Source organism: Homo sapiens, chromosome 8 (genome assembly GCF_000001405.40).
Source record: "Homo sapiens chromosome 8, GRCh38.p14 Primary Assembly".
Lineage (NCBI taxonomy): Eukaryota > Metazoa > Chordata > Mammalia > Primates > Hominidae > Homo > Homo sapiens.
Genome location: NC_000008.11, coordinates 133,661,159 through 133,684,359, shown reverse-complemented (window position 1 = coordinate 133,684,359; position 23,201 = coordinate 133,661,159). Strand labels below are relative to the sequence as shown.

Here is a 23,201-nt window from a genome sequence, read left to right as displayed (position 1 = left end):
GTGAAAATTTCAAACCATACTAAAGTTGAAAGAGTGAGATAATGCACATCTATATAGTCCTCAATTAGAGTCACTGATAATGCCAGTTGAAAGGACACTAATGATGAGACTGAGTTAGGATGCCAGAGGAGAGTTTATGAGACATCAAGGGAATTGAAGCAGCACTGGCAGGGAGTGTCTCAGACTATGATAAGGATCTGACAAGGTCTCAGCCGACCTAACACAGAGCTCCAGAGCAAAGATTTCCCACTGCACAGCTGGTATCACGCACTGATCAGTCACTGGCTGGGCACTGCTGGGGAAGAGTGTTGCCTCAGCTCAAAAGCAGAATCGGATCCTGAAGGACCTAATGACTAGAAACTTCCAGCTGACTACACTCTGCAACTGACTGGTAAGTGCTTTCTTAAAGGGAAATTGGAGCAGGGAGCTTCTATGGCTGTGACAGCAGTTTCTGATATTTTACTTTTTTTTCCTCTAAACCATTTGAAGGCAAGTTGTAATCACCAATCATGGCATTTTGACCACTAATTACACAGCAATATGAATCTCTTAACAACTCAACATTTTCCTACATAACCACAATACAATGATCACACTGGATAATTATTTGAAACAATAATATTATCTGACATGTTGTCCATATTCAAATCAAATTCCATTAATCATCCCAATTAAGTCTTGTTTTTTCCGGGTGTGCATGCACATGTGCACATGTGTGTATCTGTGTGTTTGAGCCATAATCCAATTAAGGGTTATGAATTGCATTTGATTCTCCTGTCTTTTTAGTCTCCTTTAATGAAAAATAGTTCTCTTACTTTTATGCATTTTCAAGACTTTGGTCTTTCTGAAAATTCCACGTCATTTGTCTTTTAGGATGAACATCAGAATTTGTCTTCTTATTACTTCATGACTAAATTCAGGATATAATTGTAATACCTCACTTTTTAGTGTTTTCGTTTGTGCTTTAAATAGTTGTGTTTTGTGTGAGTTACAAGAAACAAGAAAAGTCTTTTATATTTACCTACTTATTTACTATCTCCAGTGCTTTTTATTTTCCCTTGTAGATTTGAACGTCTATAGAATATTACATCTCTTTGACCTGAAGGACTTGCTTTAGCATTTCTTGTACTACAAGTCTGATGGAGGTAAAATCACTAAATTTTAATTTAACTGAAAATGCCTTTATTGCGCCCTCATTCAAAGGATATTTTTGTTGAATACAGAATTCTGTACTGACAGTTTGGTTTGGTTATTGCTTTTCTCATTCAGCACTTCAAAGATGTTATTCCATTATCTTCTGGCCTCCATTGTTTCTGATAACAATTCAGCAATAATTCTTATGCTTGTCCCCTACGTATAATGTGTCTGTTTGCTCTGGCTTCTTTCATGATGTTCTCCTTATCTCTGTTTCTCAATCATTTGACTATCATACTACTGGAGAGGAAACTTCTTGTATTTATCAGGTTTTGGTATTTGTTTAACTGCTTGGACCTGTAAGTCATCAAATTTGGAGAATTAGAGACTATAGTTTCTTCAATTTTTTTTTTTTTTTTTTTTTTTTGAGACAGAATCTCACTCTGTCACCCAGGCTGGAATGCAGTGGTGCAATCTCAGCTCACTGCTACCTCCGCCTCCCAAGTTCAAGTGATTCTCCTGCCTCAGACTCTCGAGTAGCTGGCCACCACGCCTGGCTAAGTTTTTTGTATTTTTAGTAGAGATGGGGTTTCACTAGGTTGGTCAGGCTGGTCTTGAACTCAAATGATCCGCCTGCCTTGGCCTCCCAAAGTACTGGGATTACAGGTGTGAACCACTGCGCCAGGCCAAATATTTTCTTTGCATTTTGTTCACTAGTTTCTCTCTTAGTGCTGATGTGTTAGACTATTTGCTATTTTCACACAGAGCCCTGGGGTTCTTTTAAACTTTATTCAATCTTTTATCCTTCTTTCCTTCAAATGGGGCAATTTTTATTATCTATGTTCAAGTTCACTGACTTTTTCTTCTGCCATTTCCAATCTTCCATTAGACCTGTTCAGTAAACTTTTTATTTCTGTTCATTTGTTTCAGTTCTAGAAATTCTATTTAATTTTTTTCCTTTTTTTAAGATGGAGTTCTGCTCTTATTGCCCAGACTGGAGTATAATGGTGCAATCTCAGCTCACTACAACGTCTGCCTCCCAGGTTCAAGCAATTCTCCTGCCTCAGCCTCCTGAGTAGCTGGGATTACAAGCACCCACCACTATGCCCGGCTAATTTTTGTATTTTTAGTAGAGGTGGGGTTTCACCATGTTGGCTAGGATGGTCTTGATCTCCTGACCTCATGATCCACCTGCCTCAGCCTCCCAAAGTGCTGGGATTACAGGCATGAGCCACCGCAACTGGCCACTATTTAATTTTATAGTTTACATTTTTTTCTATTGAATTTTTTTTATCTGCTTACTAATTAAAATCAAATTTTTCTTTATGTAAACATCTTTACAGGAGTAATTTTCAAGTCTTTTCTTAGTACAACATGTGCATTATCTTAGATTTGGTCCCTGTTGACAGTTTTGTTTTGTTTTGTTTTGTTTTTTACTATGAATCATATGTTTCTCTTTCTTTGTATATCTACTGAAATTTGCATTGAATACTGAATGTTGTAGAAAAGACATTGAAGAGACTCTGGCTTCAGTATTGTCCTCTCAAATTCACAAGTCGTTCAATTACTGGTTAATCACCTGCACTTTTAAATGCTTGGTTTAACACTTTGTTCATTCAAGTCTGTGAAAAGCTCAAGGTGTTTTCCAAACCTCTCTAACCTCGAGGGACCAAACACTAAACTCAGTATTTTCTAGAGATCTTTTCTGTGACCTTGGTTAGGCCAGGTCCATGCTATGATCCCTATTGTTAAGACACAAGCTTTCTGGAGTCTCGGCTAGATGCTAGGGTATTAATGATGGATTAAGAAGATGTCTCCACTCTGACAGGGAAAGAACTCCAACTTCCCTTGCACTTCTCCTTCCAAGAACTGCTTGACTTCTCATATTTGTGTTCTGCTCTTAACAGCATAGTATGTGCTATATGGTAAAGCTGGATGGCTTATCCTGTACATGTACAATGAAAATTCAGCCACAGAATCTCAGGGATTCTCCATCAATTTATGGAATCCCCTGTCCACAGAGGTTCTTCTACTCAAGGCCCACCTTGAGGATTCCATCTGCCTCAAGCCCATAACTCTTAATTGTGATCTCTGTTTGGTCAGCTCACTGGGGCCATGCTTTCTGTTTGGACTCCAGCTTATTGTGCTGCAACCAGGAAATTGTTCTAAGCACAGAGCTGGATACTCACAAGAGTCATCTCAGAAGTTTCCCTTCTCTCAAGAATTGCAGATTTGCATTACCTACGGCCCACTGCCTGAAAATAGTTATCTCATATTTTTATCCAGTTTTATATTTGTTTACAGGAGGAGGGATAATCCAGTCCCAGCTACTGCACCATGACCAGAAGCCTGTGAAATATATTTTTAATTTCTCAGACTCTAAATTATAGGAAAGCACAGAAAAGGCAAGATGAAATGGCTGTTGGGTAAGCCAATCCATGGTATGATTTACCAACCTGGAAATATATTATCAGTCAACTCCAAGGAAATGAGAGCAGTTTCAGACTTGCCAACACTATAATAATGATAATGATAATAATAATAATAATAAATGTAAAATGGCCTTCTATATTTCCTTTCTTAGGAAGTACTGAAGGAGGCACTTACTGAGATGAAGGAATAGAAAAGGGAGACCCAAGATCCAAGAGACAGAGGATCCAACTGAGGAGACCAATATTAGCAAAAGAATGGCCATTATGTATCAGATTGAAAAAGTGATCTATGCAGACTGAAATAAAAACATGATCCAGGAGGCAGGTTTTAAATACCATAAAAATAAAACTGAGCCGGGCGTAGTGACTCATGCCTGTAATCCCAGCAACTTGAGAGGCCAAGGCGGGTGGATCACCTGAGGTCAGGAGTTTGAGACCAGCTTGGTCAACATGGCGAAACCCCATCTCTACTAAAAATACAAAAATTAGCCAGGCGTGGTGGCAAATGCCTGTAATCCCAGCTACTCGGGAGGCTGAGGCAGGAGAATCACTTGAACCTGGGAGGTGGAGTTTGCAGTGAGCCAATATCATGCCACTGCACTCCAGCCTGGGCAATAGAGCAAGACTGTGCCTTAAAATAAATTAAATAAAATACATAAATACAACTGAAAGCTTATAACTGTGGTTAAATATTTGAAGAGCTATATATAGGCATATGATGGAAGGTGGAAACACTAAAAATGATAATAATAGGCAAGTAGAAAATAAACAATGGAAAATCAAGGCAATTATTAACTCCAAGTAAAACAAAAATTTGAAGGAGAAAGTTGATCTAACTGTGCACTACTTAGCTTAGCAGGGACCTATATTTACATAGTCATAATTCCATAAACGTTGTTACTGGTTTAACCAAAAATTGTGTACATATCTCATTCAGGGATACAGGTGAAAAGACACAGGCAAGGAAGTGATTGTGTAAAAAAAAGTGGAAGTTCTCTCATTCAGATAGCCCTGTCTAAAATCCCGGCTCTACTTACTACCACTTACCTGGGTCTACTTGGGCAGCTTCTTTTAACTTTCTGAGCCTCAATTTCCCCTTCTACAAAATGTATAATCTCTCATAAGACTGTTGTATTAAGTAAAATAATATATACAAAGACTGCCACACAAGTTGACACTAAATATATATTTCTTTCCATGGTTTTCTTACTTATGCACCCAGACAACTCTTTTGCAAAAGAAAGTGGTAAAATTGGATCTAACCCAACCCCAGCTCCCACAGCTTCCTCACCCAACTCCAGCCCCAGGCATCGGAGAAGTCTATGCTGTGATTGCACAGAACTGCTCACCAGTCCTCACAATACATTGCACTGCAAGTTATACTTCTGTGCCATGATGTTTTGTCTGCCAACAGTTCCCTCTTTAACCATCATGTCCATTTGTTAAGAACATCAATATTCTATTATACTTCCAAAGCTTCCAATTATAATGAATTATTCTTTTAGTGTTTGGCACATTCTTAGTTGTATTGTGGCCTATTTATGTATCTATGTCTTTCACCAGATTGTATAAGCAAGGACTTTGCTTTAAATTAGTCTAACCGATACTTATTTTTTGAGTAACTATTGTGTGCCAAGTACTGTGCACATTACAAATTGAGGATCTAGGATAATTTAGACACATGTATTCATTCAAAAATGAACCTACTAAGTGCCAAGAATTCTAATAGGCATTGAGATCCATGTGACCATGAGAAATAAGATCTCCTCCCTCATCGTATTTGCAGTGTGGAGAGAAGGGGCAGGCACACAGAGAGGGAATTACAAAGCTAAGTAATGTCTATATCAGGGGAAGTATCTGGGTCAATGAGAGACAAAGAAGGGACATCTGCACAGACATGAGAATTCAGGGAAGGCTTTTTGGAAAAAGGAACTTCTAAACTAAAAATAAAATGAGTAGTAGCTCACTAAGGGATTGGAGAAGAGAGTTCAAGATGAGGAAAAACATAAAAATATGTACACAATACAACAGAAGCAAGAGTAATAGGTATTCATCTCTACCTAGAGGAATCAGGGAAAGCTGTGGGGGCATTTGAGCAGAACCTTCAAGGATAAGTAGTTAATTATTGGTAATACTCTCATTCTTTTTGTTGAACAACTATATTAATGCATTAATTGTCATCCTTAGTCCAGAAAGAATAATCTAATTGCTACTATAATAATTTTAATTCAGTTGTGTTATGTTTGCTACCTAAATGGTAGGAATTTTTATTATCATAAAAGCATGGACTTACTTCATTTTGAAATATATACTACAAACTGAAAATTAACTTAGATTTTTGAATCTTGCTTATTTTGACTCCATTCTAGTATCCAATTTAATTAACATTTTTAAATAAATTCAGGTTGCTTTGTAGAGGAAAATACAGAAAACTAGAAGAAAAGATTGGCAAGTATATCTCATGACGTTTACTATAGAGCAAGACTTCAAAACAAACCATTGCATTTCAAAATTGATAATTTCGGTTGTATTATCATTATTTATAAATATAGGGCCAACATGAATTCAAGAAGAAGCAAGTATCTAGTTAAACTGAGTGGTACAGGCTAGGTGCAGTGGCTCATGCCTGTAATCCCAGCACTTTGGGAGGCCGAGACGGGTGGATCACCTGAGGTCCGGAGTTCGAGACCAGCCTGAGCAACATGGAAAAACCCCATCTCTACTAAAAACACAAAATTAGACAGGCATGGTGGCACATGCCTGTAATCCCAGCTACTCAGGAAGGCTGAGACAGGAGAATCGCTTGAACCCGGGAGGTGGAGGTTGCGGTGAGCCGAGATTGCACCCTTGCACCCCAGCTTGGGCAACAAGAGCAAAACTCTGTCTCAAAAACAAACAAACAAACAAAACTGAGAGGTATAGACAAGAGTCAGCACAAAGAAAGGCGACTAGAATTGAAATGATATTTTCTAAGAGCCACCAGTGTGCTTATTCTATGTCCTGAGGAATCAGAGATGAAGAAGTCACAACTTCTGCTATTGAAAATGTGCATTGAAGGAAGAGTAATATTTCCTAGGCAAACAACAGTCTACATCTCTCCAACTCATCTCTTTCTTTATTCCTACAATAACTGTCTTAACTTAGGCTCTCATCATCTGATATCGAGATCACTAAAATAGTCTCTTCCCTTCAGTCTTTCTTACCCATCTATTCATTACCCTGTGAACAGTGACCCTTCTAAAATGTATATCTAAACACATATCTCCTCTTATTTACCTGCATTTGGCCTTCATTTTTGAAAGATACTTTTGCTGAGTATAGAATTCTAAGTATTTTGTCTTTTTGTTAAGTATTTTAAAGATGTTGCCCCATTGTCTTCTGGTTTGTGTTGCTGCCAACAAAGTTTGTTGTCATTCTCATTGTTGTTTCCCTGCACATAATGCATTTACTTTTCCTGGATACTTTTATGATATTCTCTTTATATCAGTTTTAAGAAAATTGATTACAATGTGCACTGGTGTCATTTTCTTCAAGCTTCTTCAGCTTGGAGAGTTCTCTGGGCTTCTTGGATTTAGGGGTTTATAGTTTTTGTCAAATTTGTAAAAATTTTGAACAGACTTCTTTGAATATCCTTGTCTTCCCCTTTTTCTCTGGGACTCCAATTACACATATCTTAGACCTTGTGAAACTACACCATGGCACACTGATGGGATAATGCACATCAATGTTCACTTTATTTTCCGTATTTTTTTGTTTTATTTTAAATGTTTTCTACTGCTTTTTTTTCAAGTTCACTAATCTTGTCCTCTGCAGCCTCTAATTAGCTATTAATGGCATCTCATGTATTTTACATCTCAGGTATTTTTTATCTCTAGAAGTCTGATTTGGATCTTTGTCATATCTTTTACATGTCCATTTAACATGCTCATGTTTTCTCTATCTTCTTAAATATACAGAATGTATTTATAATAGCTTTTTTAATTTCCACATGTACTAATTATATTATCTGTGTTATTTAATTAATGTCTGTTTCTATGGATTGATTTTTAAATCTTTATTATGGGTCATATTTTTCTTTGAGTATCTAGTGCTGTTTGGTAGGATGCTAGATATTGGTGACTTTTAATTTTGGGGTATTACATTTTTTCTGTATCCCTATAAGTATTATTCGGATTTGTTCTTGGGTCCAGTTAAGGTAGTTGGGAACAAACTGATCCTCTCAAGACCTGTTTCTATGCTTTGCTAGGCAGAGACACAAACTAATCTGTCCCCATCAATGAGACAATCCCCTTTTGAATACTCAACCTGATGCCCTGCGCCATATGAGGTATCTTATAATGGCTGTCAGGAACATGAATTATTCCCAGTCCTGTATGGCTCCAGAAATTTTTCTATCTACTCCTTCCGGGTGTTTTGTTTGTTTGTTTGTTTGTTTGTTTGTTTGTTTTTTCCTCCCTGGCCTCAGGTAGTTTTCTTTAGCGCAGGTGCTGATTAGTACTCAGCTAAAGACTCAAAAAGGACTCTTCCACAAAACTCCAAAGCTCTTTTTCTGTGAAGCTCGCTCCTTTCAGGAACACTACTGAAAGAATCCCAGCCACACTGGCCTCCCTAAATTCTCAGTCCTGCCTCCTAAACTTAGGGAGACCACTGGACTCAGTTTGAGCTGCTGCTTCTTGCACTGCAGCCTGGAAACTCTCTCCAGGCCAAATAGAGAAATATTCCTAGAACTTGCCCCATTGGTTCTTTTTTCTCAAGTATTACTGTCCTGTACTGCCTGTTTTCTAGTGTATGAATACTGTTATTTCATATATTTTGTCCATGTGATTAGCTATCTAAAGTGGGAGGATAAGTTCAGTCCCTGTTACTTCATTATGGCTGGAAGTGAAAGCTGACCATTATTTAAACAGTTGGTAGCTTCTAAATGCTTTCAGAAAAACATGCCAACTGAAAGGCTACAACCTTAAGTCCAGGCCTGGAGCCTCGCATTCTCTTTCATATCCTGCTCCCATGCTTGCCCCATGGGGTCTTGTTTGACCTTCATCCACTTCAATGGTGGTGTTGAGGGTCTCGAGATCCCTCTTGGGACCTGGCCAAGAGCACGTGGGCTCCAGGGTTAGGTACCAGGGGAAGTCAAAGAATCTCCATAGGACCCAACCCTCCATCTCACTCTCCAGCTCCATTTTCCCAGAAATCTCAGCAGTAAACAATACACATTGCTTTCCCAGTGATTCTATGAATGAAATGTGTTTGCTTCCCATATGGCTATCTATCTTTTTTTTGTTTTTGTTTTTGTTTTTGTTTTTGAGACAGAGTCTCACACCGTCGCCCGGGGTGGAGTGCAGTGGCATGATCTTGGCTCACTGCAACCTCTGCCTCCCAGGTTCAGGTGATTCTCCTGCCTCAGCCTCCTGAGTAGCTGGGATTACAGGCGCCTGCCACCACGCCCAGCTAATTTTTTGCATTTTTAGTAGAGACAGGGTTTTACTATGTTGGTCAGGCTTGTCTCGAACTCCTGACCCTGTGATCTACCTGCCTCGGCCTCCCAAGTACTAGGATTCCAGGCATGAGTCACCGCGCCCAGCCTTGGCTTTCATTCTTGTACGTACAGTTCTTTTGGTCTGGATCTCCAGAGAGCAGAAGTGAGTTTTGGGATCAGCATGCTGCGTCCCCACCCTAAATTCCTAATAAGACAAAGAAGCTCACTGTATAGTCCAGAAGAAAGACATTTAAACAAACATAACAGAATGCTTCATGTAAATCCCTCATGAATGCTTGTCACATTAAATAAAATATAAGCACAAAGATACGCACTCAGTTCTTAAAGAACCCAGGAGAGAAGCCTGTCACTTGGCCTGGGGCTATCTAGGAAGGCTTTCACAATGAAGTGACTAGCCCTTTCCCTGACATTTACCCAGAACATGTATTTCCATAACGACATTCCAATGACAGTGACTCAATAGAACAACTCTGGCACTTTAGAAACATTTTGACAAGATCCTAGTTTGGAGAGCTCAGCGGTTATTAAGATAGAAGAAGCCAGCCAGAGGCTCTGTCAAGCAGCCAGGAAGGTTCCTGCTGAGGCCATTATAAAAGGAAGCAGTGGGGGAAGGCATTAGGAGAGTTGAGGATTGAGTAAGGACCCCAGATTGGGTCTCCCCGAGCCTTTGATTAAGACGGGCCAAGTTTGTCCTCACCACTCTCAAAAACGTGCTTTCCGTGAATCCAGGGCGCAGAGTTCTAAACAAGGAGGCTGTTAAAAGATAGATTAAAAGGCATAAAAATAGTATTAGATTTCACGGCACAGTGAGGCCTGTCAAGTCCAGGCTCACAGAGTGAATTGCTTAAAGGCGATGATCAAAATGAGTCACCAGTGTCTGCTCCGATTGTGCTGATGCCTCTTGGAAAAGCAAAAGCCGGGACTATTGTTTGTGTCAAAAATACTTCTGAAGAGGCTACAGAAATCAAAAGGCGCTGATGTGCCAAAGTCTGAAGGGAGACGAAGGGGAGAGAAGAGAGGAGAGTCAGGGGCTCGAAAATGCAGGGGAAGCAGATGAGCAAGGGACAGCATCTCAGGGCAGGGTAGAAGGGAGGGGCTGATGGTGGAAAGGGGCTGAGTTGTGCAAGCAGAGTGGAGTTGAGTCCTTGGAGACCCTCGCTTTATCAAGCTCCTACTGTGTGCTAGAACTTGTGCTGGGCACCTTAGGTGTGATAACTCAGAAAACAACAAACAGTTACTTGAGTGAGCGGTGTGGCCTTGAAGGTGTCTCTGAGCCTCTCTGAACCTCCGTGTCTTCTTCTGGAAAGTGAAGTTAAACAGCCATACCTCTCAAGGTGGTTGCGGATTTTATGTAAGATAACAGGGGCAAAAATGTCAAGCATCCAAAAAGGGCTCAATATACCAAGTTGAATCTGAAGACAAATCACTGGGCAATCCTAATCACAAGAACGTTCACTGAGAAAAGGTTATACTCTAGGCACTAACATGAGCAGTCTATATTCAGGCATTATCTAATTTAAACTCTCCAGACCTATGAGTTAGGTAATATTTCCATCCCCATTTGGCTTATAAAGAGACAGAGTCTTTATGTAAAGACTGGGACAGTAAGTTGCCCAATGTCACACAAGAGAGAAGCCACAATCTAAAAATCCATCTGTCTAGTTCCAAAAACCTGTAATGCTTATCATTTTGCTGGCTGGTTGTCTAGAATGATAGAAGGCTAACATTGGCGCCATCTTCAAGGTGACTCAGTATCAAGCCCTCCACCTCTCTGCAGGCCTCCTTTTCATGTGTGAACCCCTCTGAAACATCCTGCCAATTAGCCAGCCTGCTCTTGTTTGCACTCTTCCCATGACGGGATGCTCACTTCCTGCTGAGGCAGCCTGACCAATTTCCCAACAATTCGACTGGTTTGAAAGTACTTCTTTCTCCAGTCCATCGGATTGATTACAGATTCAAGATCAGCACCAAGTAGACGCATTCTCAATTGTCACTTCCAGGGAGGAAATCTTTGACAAGTTCCCACTGCTTTTTAGAAGTAAAATAGTCATAACTTGTTCTTCTTAAAAACTGCCAACAGCATGAAGAGAATCAAGACTGAAGACCAAAATTGCTTTTCTCTCCTCTCGATAACACTGTCAGCGTGGAGCAGGCCGACTGTGGAGGAACTTCAATCGGGGCTAAATTTACATTCATTCAGGTGTCACCGGACTCTGCTTTCTTGCCTCTCTTTTCTGATCAATGCACTCATTAAAGGGCTCAAGCTTGGCAATAGATTCACCTTAATGCTCGTCACCCTGGGGTTTCAATAACACAGGCTCTGAGACTCTAACAAGCTGCTGAAGAATGAAAAGAAAAAAAGCAAAAAAGCTTTATCTTTCCCTTCTTGTATAGAGTCCTGAAATTGTTTCTCTTTGTCTTTTACAAACAGTTCTATTGACTGTAGTAATTTTATGGAGGAGCTTTGAGGGGCATATATGGGAAGAGAGAAATTTGGAAAATATGTGGAGCAGGTGTACAGAACGAATATACATCTATTTATTCCAAAAGAGTGAGAAATTTGGATCACATTTATTTCTGTTTTTCCTAACTTGGAAGATTTGTTTGGAAACTTAAAATAAAAGGTTTGTTTAACTTTTACCAAATTACATTTTATTTGTCTTAACAGAAGGATGCTTTCACTTCTACACATTCCATTGTAGAATCTGTCTACATGCTCATGTATTTTCACAGTCCCAAGCATGGTATGCAGGTTGATATGTGGTTTGGATCTGTGTCCCCAACCAAATCTCATGTCAAATTGTAATCCTCAGAGGGGCATGGTGGCTCACACCTGTATCCCAGCACTTTGGGAGGCCGAGGCAGGCAGATCACTTGAGGTCAGGAGGTTGAGACCAGCCTGGCCAACATGGTGAAACCCCATCTCCACTAAAAATACAAAAATTAGCTGGGCATGGTGGTGCGTGCCTGTAATCTCAGCTGCTTTCACACTGCTGTTTTCACACTGCTGATAAAGACATACCCATGACTGGGCAATTTACAGAAGAAAGAGGTTTAATGGACTTACAGTTCCACGTGGCTAGAGAGGCCTCACAATCATGGAGGAAGGCGAAAGGCACTTCTTATATGGTGGTGGCAAGAGAGAGAATGAGAGCTAAGCGAAATCGGTTTCCCCTTATCAAACCATCAGTTCTCATGAGACTCATTCCCTACCACAAGAACAATATAGGAGAAACTGCCCCCATAATTCAATTATCTCCCACTGGGTCCCTCTCACAACACATAGGAATTATGGGAGTACAATTCAAAATGAGATTTGGGTGGGGAAACAGACCCAAACCATATCAGATGTTAAGTGAAAATCAAATATAAACTGCATAATATTTGTGGGTAGTTGTGGTTTTCCTGCTGAGCTCACTACCACTGGGCCGTGAGGTTATCTTTTCCCACCACTGCCACTAGATGTTTTCTGTACACAAGGTAGTTCTCCTGCCCAGCCCACCACCACTGGACTCCGTCTCCCTGTACGTAAGCCCCTAATTAAACCCCTTGTCTCATTTGCTGGCTCTGGGTGCTTTCTTTGGCCTCTTGAACTTGGTGCTTTTCCAACTGAGGCTAACAGGGGCTCAGCACAACACTGCCTTCTGAGAGTTAATGGCTGTGTGCCCATCTAGTGTTTTGCATTAAGCAGTTTATGATGGGTGGGCCAGCTATTGAGCTCAGGAATGAATCTTCACCAGGTGGTAAGGCTACAGCTAACACCACTGCGCTGGGAGCTACAATAGTCATGCTTATTTAACAGATGAAGAAACTGAGGCACAGACGAAAATGTTCTGCTGCTCAGTGGTTGGGCTGACCCAAAGCCATGTTTTCCACCTGACATTCAGGATGGGCTCTTTTGACTTTGCCAAAACTGTAATTGTGTAAAAGTCAGAAGTTAAGCTAAGGTTGGTGTTGTGATGCTACTACTATAGACACCACGTTTCAGCAAGGCTGGAAAAAGTCCTAAAATACTTCTCAATATCATAAGAAGAGAAATAATTCTATACAGTCATCGGATACCATTAAACACTGCTTTTGACTAGTGTATAACTGAGCTGCTATTCGATCAAAATAACAGCTGGAACTTGTGCGTCCCTACCCACAAAGTTCTGTGCTAAATGCCTTACAGGTGATATCTCAGTATCAGTTTCACTGCATTTTATAGACAAGGCACCTGAATGTTATAGAGTTTAAGAAACTTATCTAAAGGCATGTGTGCAAGTGGTAGACCTGAAACCTAAAGCTTCATCTTTCTAATTTCAGAATCTGTCACCCTAACAACAGGTTAAGCACTGGGCATTCAAGCTGGCCACACCATGGGATGCATCTTTGTGCAACTTCTCTTTTTTTAGAAGAAAAATCTTAGTTAGACTAAGAGAGGTTGAGTTATGGGCCCAAAATCACATACTGACAGATCCATCTTTAAGGCCAGGCTCCCCAAATCTTCCTTTAGAAGAATTCCAAATAATGTATCAGATACATATCCATGAGGCAGAGCTCAATTCCTTTCCTCTTGATTCTGGGCTAGACTTAGTAACTTGTTTCCAAAGAAAGAGGTATAGAAGTGAAAATATAGAAACCAGGTGGACACTACATTGATCAAGGTTACCACTACCAGTGATAAGTTATCTTGCTTGCTATCACATACCCCTCAGCACGCAACCGGAAGAACACTTCACCTCCATGATATTTTTCTCAAAAATCTATAACCCCAATCTAATCAGACAAGCTCAAACAGGGGGACATTCTACAAACTACTTGACTAATAGTCTTCAAAATTCTTTAGAGAATCAAAGAAAAAGATTAAGAAGCCCTTGGATCAGAAGAGACTACATACATATGACAACTAAATGCAATATGCAATTCTGCATTGAATTGGATCCCGTTGAGGAAGAGGACATCAGTGAAATAATAGGTACCAACAAAATGAAGTCTGTTAGCTCAGGGTACTAGACCAGTATTAATTTCTTAGTTGTCATAGTTGCACCATGGTTACGTAAAATGTTAGCATCAGGGTAAGCTAGGTAAAGGGTATGTTTGCAACTTTGCTATAAATCTAAAAATACTACAAGATACAGTTTCAGGTAACATAAAAATAAAAATAAACAGGTCACCAAAACTTTAGCTGCCATTTCATGGCCATTTCCTTATAGCTTGTAATTCACTCACTCCTTTTATGTTTTGTTTTGTTTTGAGATGGAGTCTCACTCTGTTGCCCAGGCTGGGGTGCAGTTGCACGATCTCTGCTCACTGCAACCTCCGCCTCCTAGGTGTAAGGAATTCTCCTGCCTCAGCCTCCTGAGTAGCTGGGATTACAGGCACCCGCCACCACACCTGGCTAATTTTTGTACTTTTAGTAGAGACGGGGTTTCGCCATGTTGGCCAGGCTGGTCTCAAACTCCTGACCTCAGGTGATCTGCCCACCTTGGCCTTCTAAAGTGCTGGGATTACAGGCATGAGCCACTGTGCCCAGCCTCCCTCACTCGTTACAAAAATTTAAAAAAAAAATGAAAAACAGGGGTCCAAGAAGATATGTGTGAAGACCACTATTCACTGAAAACAACCTAGAGCAGTTATTCTTGGAATGTGTGTGGCCTCACAAACACCATGCCCTACACATACACACTGCACACTGCTAAGACTGGTTCCAAACACACGGCTACATTATTTTCCCTTCAGAAAAGACAGCCTGGGGTTTCACTTGGCCACTGGCTAGGGCAGGATTGTTCCGGGTTGTTTTTTTTTTCTTTCTTTTCCTTTACTGGGGCAACAATGCTGCAGCTGAGCCTCTGTAGAAAGAGAATGACTGTTTTTCCATTTTTTTTTAAGAGGAGCAGTTAAAAATACACATTGGTACATACTGTAATTATCATTCAGAATAAATGCAGGAATGGTGACATTAACTAATGGGAGTGCAGCAGCTGCTGGCTTGTTGAAAGCCATCCTCAGCGTTGTGCGGAGGTGTCCAATGCTAATTGCTCCTTTAGTCTATCTGATGTCACGAGGGAATCCACTGGGTAAACCCAAGGCTGCTTTGTACCTCAGCATGGCCCAGAGTTGGCTTGTCTTCAATAAGGTGTTTGTTGGCAAGCAGGTAAAAAGCTACAATATGATCATGGTTTCATTAACTTAACCTTTAGCAGTGCCTTTGATTAGCTGGAATTGCCCAACAGAAGGCTCAAGGAAAACCCATAACAGACTAATTATTAAAGAGGCACTAATGTTAACTGAAAACCAACCAAATGCCAGATAGCACCAGGCGCTTGACCAGGTCTTTAATCCTCTGACCAATCTGCTGAGAAGCAGTGCCATGCAACTTGTAGAAATGGGGCTTGGAGCTGGGAAATGACCACCAGGTTGACACTTCGGCAAGCGGCAGGCATGGGCTTCTCTCCAGCTCAGCCCAGAGTGTCAGCGTCATGCCTTGCACTCTGGGTGCCTAAATGACTGTTTTACTCATTTATTGATTCTATCATACCCCCTTTTCTGAAAAGGAATGAGAATGTCTTACAGAAACTCCACAAAACTGGAGAGAAAATTATATGAATTCCCAGCTGGGCGTGGTGGCTCACGCCTGTAATCCCAACAGTTTGGGATGCCGAGGTAGGCAGATTGCTTGAGCTCAGGAGTTCGAGAGTAGCCTGGGTAACATGGTGAACCCTTGTGTCTACCAAAACTACAAAATCTTAGCTGGGCATGGGGATGTACATCTGTGGTCCCAGCTACTTAGGATGCTGAGGAGAGAGGATCGCTTGAGCTCAGGGCAGAGGTTGCAGTAAGCCAAGATTGCACCACTGCACTTTAGCCTGAGCAACAGAGTGAGGCCCTATCTCATTAAAAAAAAAAAAAAAAAGCATTCCCAAAAGTATCTCGTGTAGAAGTTGGGGCTGGAGGTTTCTGATGAGAATCTAGCAGTCAAAGCTGCAAGATCCATGATGTGAGTGAGGAAAAAGCAAACAGCAGAGAAGGTGGTGGGGGCACAGCAGGGTACATGCTTAAGGCATGCCCCCCTTCTTAGAATCTGCCTTAGACTGTGGGGGGCTTTTGTAGCCCTCTGTTGGGCTATGTGTCCTTTAAGAGCAGTAGACCATGTATTAAATCATTTTTTTCCATTCTCTACAGTGTCTTGCACCTACTGAATCACAAGTGATGCAATTTGCTCATCTATAAATAATAATATCCACTTCAAAGGAATACTGTGAATGTGATTAGGCAACACAGGTCAGCATGTCAATGGGTCAGCACACGCCTGTATATGGAAGGGTTCAACATAAACGTAATACAAGGTTATTAACTTGGATTAAAATTGTTCAAAGCAGACAAAACTGCTAAAGGTTACATAGTAGTGGGGTGACATGTTTCAGCACTGCCCACCTGTGGGAGAGGTAGAAGAGGAAAGGGAGACTAGACTAGGGAAAGGAAGAGGGGAAGAAGGCAAGAAATAAGAAGAGAGGTGAAAAACAAAGGGAAGGGAATGGGAAATGGGAAAAGCAGAGGAGGACAGGGAGAAGGGAGAGGTGGAGTGGAGAGAAAGAAGGGGAAATGAGAAGTGGGGAAGAAGAGAAGATGAAGGGGAGGGAAGAGGAGGGGAGGAGACCAAAGAGATTATCAATATGACCAGAAAGAGGAGCCTCTGCTCCTGAAGATTCCAGAGTGGGAGGAGGAGGAAGAGGGAGTTCCCGCATCTTACTGGGCCTCTCCCCAGGCACAGAAGCCACATCTCTGTCTATTTCCCTATCGTCCTGTCACCTTGTCCCGTGGAGAACGACTGAGCTCCTCTGTGCTTTGGTGACATGGAAATGGTCCTTCCCTCTGCCTCTGAGAAGCTGGGCTGGACCAACCCCCATCCGTTCACCCTTTCGTTTACTCAAAAAATGCCTGTGGGTACCACAGCAAGCAAACAGATGAACCCCGCCCTGGTGGAGATGGTGGACTATTGGAGGACACAGGCAGAGAACTGGAAGTTACAACGTGGGGTATAAAATCTTTGACAAGAAAAGCCCAAGGCAGGAGCCAAGTCTAGAGGAACATGGGAAGTTCCCCAGAGAAAGAAAGCAATGTCCCCAGAGGGACTGAGGTTCCCTTGGAGTCTCCCCACAAAGTGAGAGCTGAGAGCAGAACAGAGGGAGGAAGTAGGATGTGCAAATCTCAGAGTTCAGCAGGAACATGGCAGATCCTGGAAATGAAGAGACAATGACCAAAGCTGGAACACAGGGCTGTGCTGGACAGGGTTGGGGGGAATCCCTAGGAAGGAGGAGAGACCAGGCAGGGATGGCCTCGGAGAGAACAATGAGAAGCTAGACTTCTAAACTGTGTCTCATCGAAGTATCTTGTAATGAGACAAGAAGATCCTCTTGGTTGTTTTGTTTTGTTTTGTTTTGTTTTGTTTTGTTTCCAGGAAGAGCCTCTGATGGCAGTACGAGAGGGGACCAGGCTGGAGAAGGAGCCAGAAGATATTGTGAAGGCTGTCACAGGCAGCTAGAGAGGACCCAGGGAGAGTGCCAGGGTGCTGGGGAAGATATCCAAGGGCTACTCAGGAGACTGGATTTGTTGGACTGGATGTAGTATTGGGTGTTGGGTTGTGGGGAGATGCAGAGAAAGTCAAAGACAACTCTAGGGCTTCAGGTTTGGACAAATGGTGGAGGGAGATGCTGTCCCTGAGACACAGAAAGAAAAAGAAGGTAGTTGGTCTTATACAGAAGAAGGTCTGTGGTCTCATGGGAAGGCCATGTAAATTGCACAGAGAAGTTGCATATTTGGGTCTAGAGCAGAAGTCAGCAAACTCTGAAAATGGCCAAGGAGAGGATGTTTTTTGTCTTGCGGGTTGTACAATCCTTGCTACAACTACTCACCTCCACTGTTGCAGCTGGAAAGCAGTCACAGATGATGTGTAAATCATTGGATGTGGCTGTATTCCAGTAAAACTGATTTACCAAGGTAATGACAGGCTGAATTTGGCTAGAGAGCCACAGCGTGCTGACCCCTGATTGAGAGCATCAGATAGATGTCTGGGCTGGAAATAAATATTCAGGGGAAGTGATTTGAAGTAATGAGTGTGGATTACATAGAGAGACATAGATTTAGATATATCTATTGAGACATATACTCTATTTTTCTATGTATAGATATATAGATGTTGAGAGATTTATTTTAAGGAATTGGCTCACATGACTGTGGGCCTGGCAAATCTGAAGTCTACAGGGCCTGGTAGCAGGCTAGAACTCAGGCAGAAGTTGATGCTGCAGTCTTGAGGCAGAATTTCTTTCTTTCTGGGAAACCTCAGTGTTTGCTCTTACAGCCTACAATGAATTCGATGAGGCCCACCCTCATTACCGAGGCTAATCTGTATTCCTTAAAGTCAACCGCATCTGCAAAATACCTGCCCAGTGCACCTGGATTAGGTTTCAATTAAATGACTGGGTACTATTGCCTAGCTGAGCGGACACATGAAAGTCACCATCACAGAGATCATCTTAGAATTCTGCTACTCCACTTTTGTAAGCAGCCACATCATGCTAATAACCCATTTTGTGGTTACGGTCAATGAAGACCCCAATATGTTAGGGTATCATTTCTGTTTTGATTCCAGATGCCCCAAGTGCCCATATCAATATATATATATTTTTTGAGACAGAGTTTCACTCCTGTTGCTGAGGCTGGAGTGCAGTGGCATGATCTCGGCTCACTGCAAACTCTGCCTCCCAGGTTCAAGAGATTCTCCTGCCTCAGCCTCCCGAGTAGCTGGGATTACAGGCATGTGGCACCACGCCAGGCTAATTTTTGTATTTTTAGTAGAGATGAGGTTTCACCATGTTGGTCAGGCTGGTCTCAAACCCCTGACCGCAAGGGATCCTCCTGGCTCAGCCTCCCAAGCTGCTGGGATTACAGGCATGAGCCACTGTGCCCGGCCCAGTGCCCATATCAATATCGATGTTTCAGGTTATGTCTGCCTTTGCCCAAGAGCAGAACAGCGTTTACTGCTCTTTTTCTGCCTTGGAAAAGCCCCATTAAATACCTCTCAGGTAAGATGGTCACCCAGGGCCCTCCCTTCTCTGAGGCTCATGGGTTCAGAAGGTTGTGAAAGGAGTCACAAACTTCCTGCCTCCTTCCTCATGCAAACCCCAGTCATGAGTGCCTGCGTATCATCAGCGGAGGAGCCCCATGCGCTGGCAATTCTTCAGTGGGAGAAAGGCATTTGCAAAGCCATTATGGCACCATACATATGTATACATTTTACACAAAGCCCGTTTATTTTAAAAAATCAATTTCTTTCCTACAGATGGCACATTGCATAAAGAAACGCGAACCCAGCAGCACTCCTGCCAGCGGCAATTCTGAGTGCTCATTTCCACTTTGCCAAGACATTACATGGGAAGGCATGTGCGTTTAAGGGCATCCAATTGTTTCTGTATCAGAACAGCAGCAACATCCCGGGCAGGCCTTTCCTCTGGAGTTCACGTGTAGGTCGTACTGACACACAACATGGCCTAAATGGACCATGGAGGAGGAAGGGACCCCAAATCCAGGCCAAATGGGAGCAGGGTTGTCCTCAGGTAAGTGCCAAGAACATAGTGCCAGGAAAGTTTATTGCATTCCCTCAGTTTCCCCAGTCATAAACATTCAGGATCTGATGACTTCCTTATGAAAGGTAAGGTAGATTTGCTACCTTCTAGAGAGCATGCGCTACCCTACCCACATCCCACATCACCTCACCCACATCCACGCACATTGGCAACAGAACTGAGAACCAGCTTGCCTTTCCAGGAACACAAGCATGTTCAATACTACTGGGCACACACGTTTCATTGCAAATCACATCATAATATGGAAGCAGACATGACTGTCACTGTCACTGTGACTGTCATTCTCTTCCTCACCTTTGACGATGGCTGCCACTGGTGTGGATGTTTCCAGGGGACTTCTGTTCCCCTGGTGCTAGCAGCACCTTGCCTCAAACACGCACAGCATGGCCTTGCTTTCTGTGCCTTTGGAAGGGCAGTGCTCCTACAATGATGTTCCTCCAGGCTATATGTACAAGCATAGATCAGACATAAAGGGGTGTGAGCAGCCCTGGGGGTGCCCTCAATTAAGAAGGCAAGGTGGGAACCAAAAGCCTCCTTCCCTCCCTGCTGTCACTTCCCAGCAGCATCCTGAGTGTTTCACAGACAGCCCTGGAGAGACCGCACTCCACAGTCCACAGCAGCATCCTTGGTAACACACCTGGCACTGGTGTTCCCTTCTTACCTGCTTCCTTACCCCTTGATAACCTGCCAAATAAACCATCTAGTAGAAGTCTTCATCCAAGCTCCTTCTGATTTCAGGAGGACCCCAGCTAGAAGACTTTCTCTGGAACCCACGGTGCCTCTCACTAAAGTGCCCCAACGTTGGCACAACACCTACCGAATTGTTGTTGCTGACTCTCTATGCCCATGATTCAACCAGAACAACATTGATTCGTTAAAAGGTGCATGAATAAACTTGACTCTGGAAACAACAACAGGTCCCCGAAAAATTTATGTCTCTAGGAAATTAAGACGCCACGGGAATCCTGGGAGACCGAGGTGGGTGGATCACGAGGTCAGGAGATTGAGACCATCCTGGCTAACACGGTGAAACCCTGCCTCTACTGAAAATACAAAAAATTAGCCAGGCGTGGTGGCTGGCACCTGTAGTCCCAGCTACGCAGGAGGCTGAGGCAGGAGAATGGTGTGAACCCGGGAGGCAGAGCTTGCAGTGAGCTGAGATCGTGCCACTGCACTCCAGCCTGGGTGCCAGAGAGAGACTCCGCCTCAAAAAAAAAAAAGAAAAAAAAGAAACTACGGTAATCCCTTTACAACCTCAAACTCCCTTCCAGGGAAATTATAATCCATTCACCTTTACTTCTCCATAGTTACTTTCAACAATGCTGTGGGTCAAGTGTGTAGAGGGGAGGGCACTCACAAAACATACTGACACGATAGCAGTGAGGGGATTGGGGTCAGAGCCAGAGTAGAGATTTTTTGCAGTGAGATCTTGGGATGGAAAGGAAGCAAAACACACTCTCATCCTGGGGTCTACTTTCCCTGAAATGCTGCAGAAAGAAGGAAAATTTGTGTTGAGGGCCTTCAGACCATGAACGGGCATTGCTTTCTAGAAGGCAGAGTGGTGGGAAATCAAAAACGTAACAAATATATGGTCAAGAGCCAGACACACAAAATAAGAGTTATGTGTCTATGCAAACATCATAGTATTTTGTATCAGTCCGAATAAATGAGGTTGTGTTATGTAAGAAATAATGCAACATCTCAGTGACCTAAAGCCACCGACTTTTACTTCCCTCTTAGGTTGGCTGCCCATCAAGGGCTGTGCTCCGTGTTGTCTTCCCTCCAGGGCCAGGCCGATAGGGCAGCCCCTGTCAGATTCATGACCATGATTGCAGGGGAAAGAGTTGGCAAGTTGCTCACCGGCCCTCAAAGTTCCCACCCAGGTGTAACACACGTCACTGTTGCTTACTTGTCATTGGCAAACACCCATCACATGGCCACACCTAAAGGTTAGAAAATACAATCTGTCCTGGCATGGTGGCTCATGCCTGTAATCCCAGCACTTTGGGAGGCCAAGACAGGCAGATCACTTCCCCATACTTACTTTCAACAAGCAGAGCCCAGGAGGTGGAGACCAGCCTGGGCAACATGGAGAAACCCCGTGTCTACAAAATATACAAAAATTAGCCGGGTGTGGTGGCATGCACCTATAGTCCCAGCTACTTGGGGGACTGAGACAGTAGGATCACTTGAACCTGGAGGTCAAGGCTGCAGTGAGCCAAGATGACACCACTGCCCTCCAGCCTGGGCAACAAAGTGAGTCCCTATTTCAAAAAAAGAAAAGAAAATACAATCTTACCAGAGGGCTGAGAGCTAGAAATACTTGGTAAAAAACAATGTTAATTACTACAAACCGCATTTGTGAACGTCTCCTTCAGGCTTCAGAAGAGGAAGCTCTTGGACTTTCAGGGCACAAAGGATGCTAAATGGGTATTCCATGTGTAATTGGTTTTTATTTTTCTTGCAATTTTCAGGTACAGCAAATCCTATTCACACTTTGTTACCTGTAGTCTATCTTTATTGTCTTAATAATTTTTATTAATATATATACATGAATTTTAAAATAGTCACATTTTAGTTATATAGAAATGTATATATTTTAAGATTATTTTTAATGTAATTTAATTTATATATGAAGGCATTTATCTTTGCACTCAAGGACTTCAGCCACCCTCGTTCTTTTTTCCCATAAAGCCCTACATTCTAGAATCACACATTTGCCTCTTCTTAGTAACTTTATGATCTCTTTTTTGGTACTTGGGGAACCCCATCACAGAAACCAATTCCACGGTCCTGATATAGAGGAGCACTCCATATTAAGGGCAAAAATAGGCATGAAAAGGAGAGGGAGAGAAACAAAAATTAAATAACCAAGAAGGTCAAAATGAAGACAGAGAGGGACAGGGGCTGATGATACGGCGTAGAGGGCCTACCTGTCCCACGCCCCTGCCGCGTGAGGTGGCTGATCACGGGGGCAGCCTTGCAGGGGATTGCAGCTGCAGAAGGGCCATTCAGAAATGGAGAGCTGTGCTTCCAGGCAGCCCTAGTCCTTCCCACACAGATTGAGTCTTAATTAGGAATGTGGTCCTCAGGCCTCAGGGGGACCACCTCTGCACACGGTGGTGCCAGGGCCCCAAAGCCTGTGGGGCTGGTGGTGAAGGAGGAATCTGAGGTTTGGCCTGGGGACCAGGAGGGTCATGTCAGCCCCAGGATCCATCCTGCAACATGGCCCAGAGACTTGTCCTCCTCACCTGGCCAAGCAGGATCACCCACAACACGCACACTCCAAACCATGTGTCTCCCTCCAACCTGATCACGGCAATGCCCCGTCTCAGAACCCATCCACTGAGAATTCACGACCAAATTTGAGAATTAAAGCAGATAGGGCCTTCGTGGAAGAAGAAAGTCTTTCTGTTTGTCTGTCTCTTGCTCAGTAACCAAATGCATCTAGATAATAAAATAACCCAGAGGGAAGGAGCGTCAGGAAAATGGGTTTATTTATGGTTTCTAGCC

At 42.7% G+C, this 23,201-nt stretch overlaps 1 long non-coding RNA gene across 2 annotated transcripts; it reads left to right on the top strand.

The window, feature by feature from the left end:
• Positions 1-293: 293 nt before the first annotated feature.
• On the top strand, positions 294-20,599 carry LINC03024 (long intergenic non-protein coding RNA 3024). Of its 2 annotated transcripts, NR_134463.1 has the most exons (4): positions 294-391; positions 1,065-1,145; positions 19,385-19,658; positions 20,427-20,599. It is a non-coding gene; the product is annotated as a long intergenic non-protein coding RNA 3024 (long non-coding RNA). The 2 variants fall into 2 exon arrangements; NR_134462.1 differs by lacking the exon at positions 1,065-1,145.
• Positions 20,600-23,201: the final 2,602 nt, after the last annotated feature.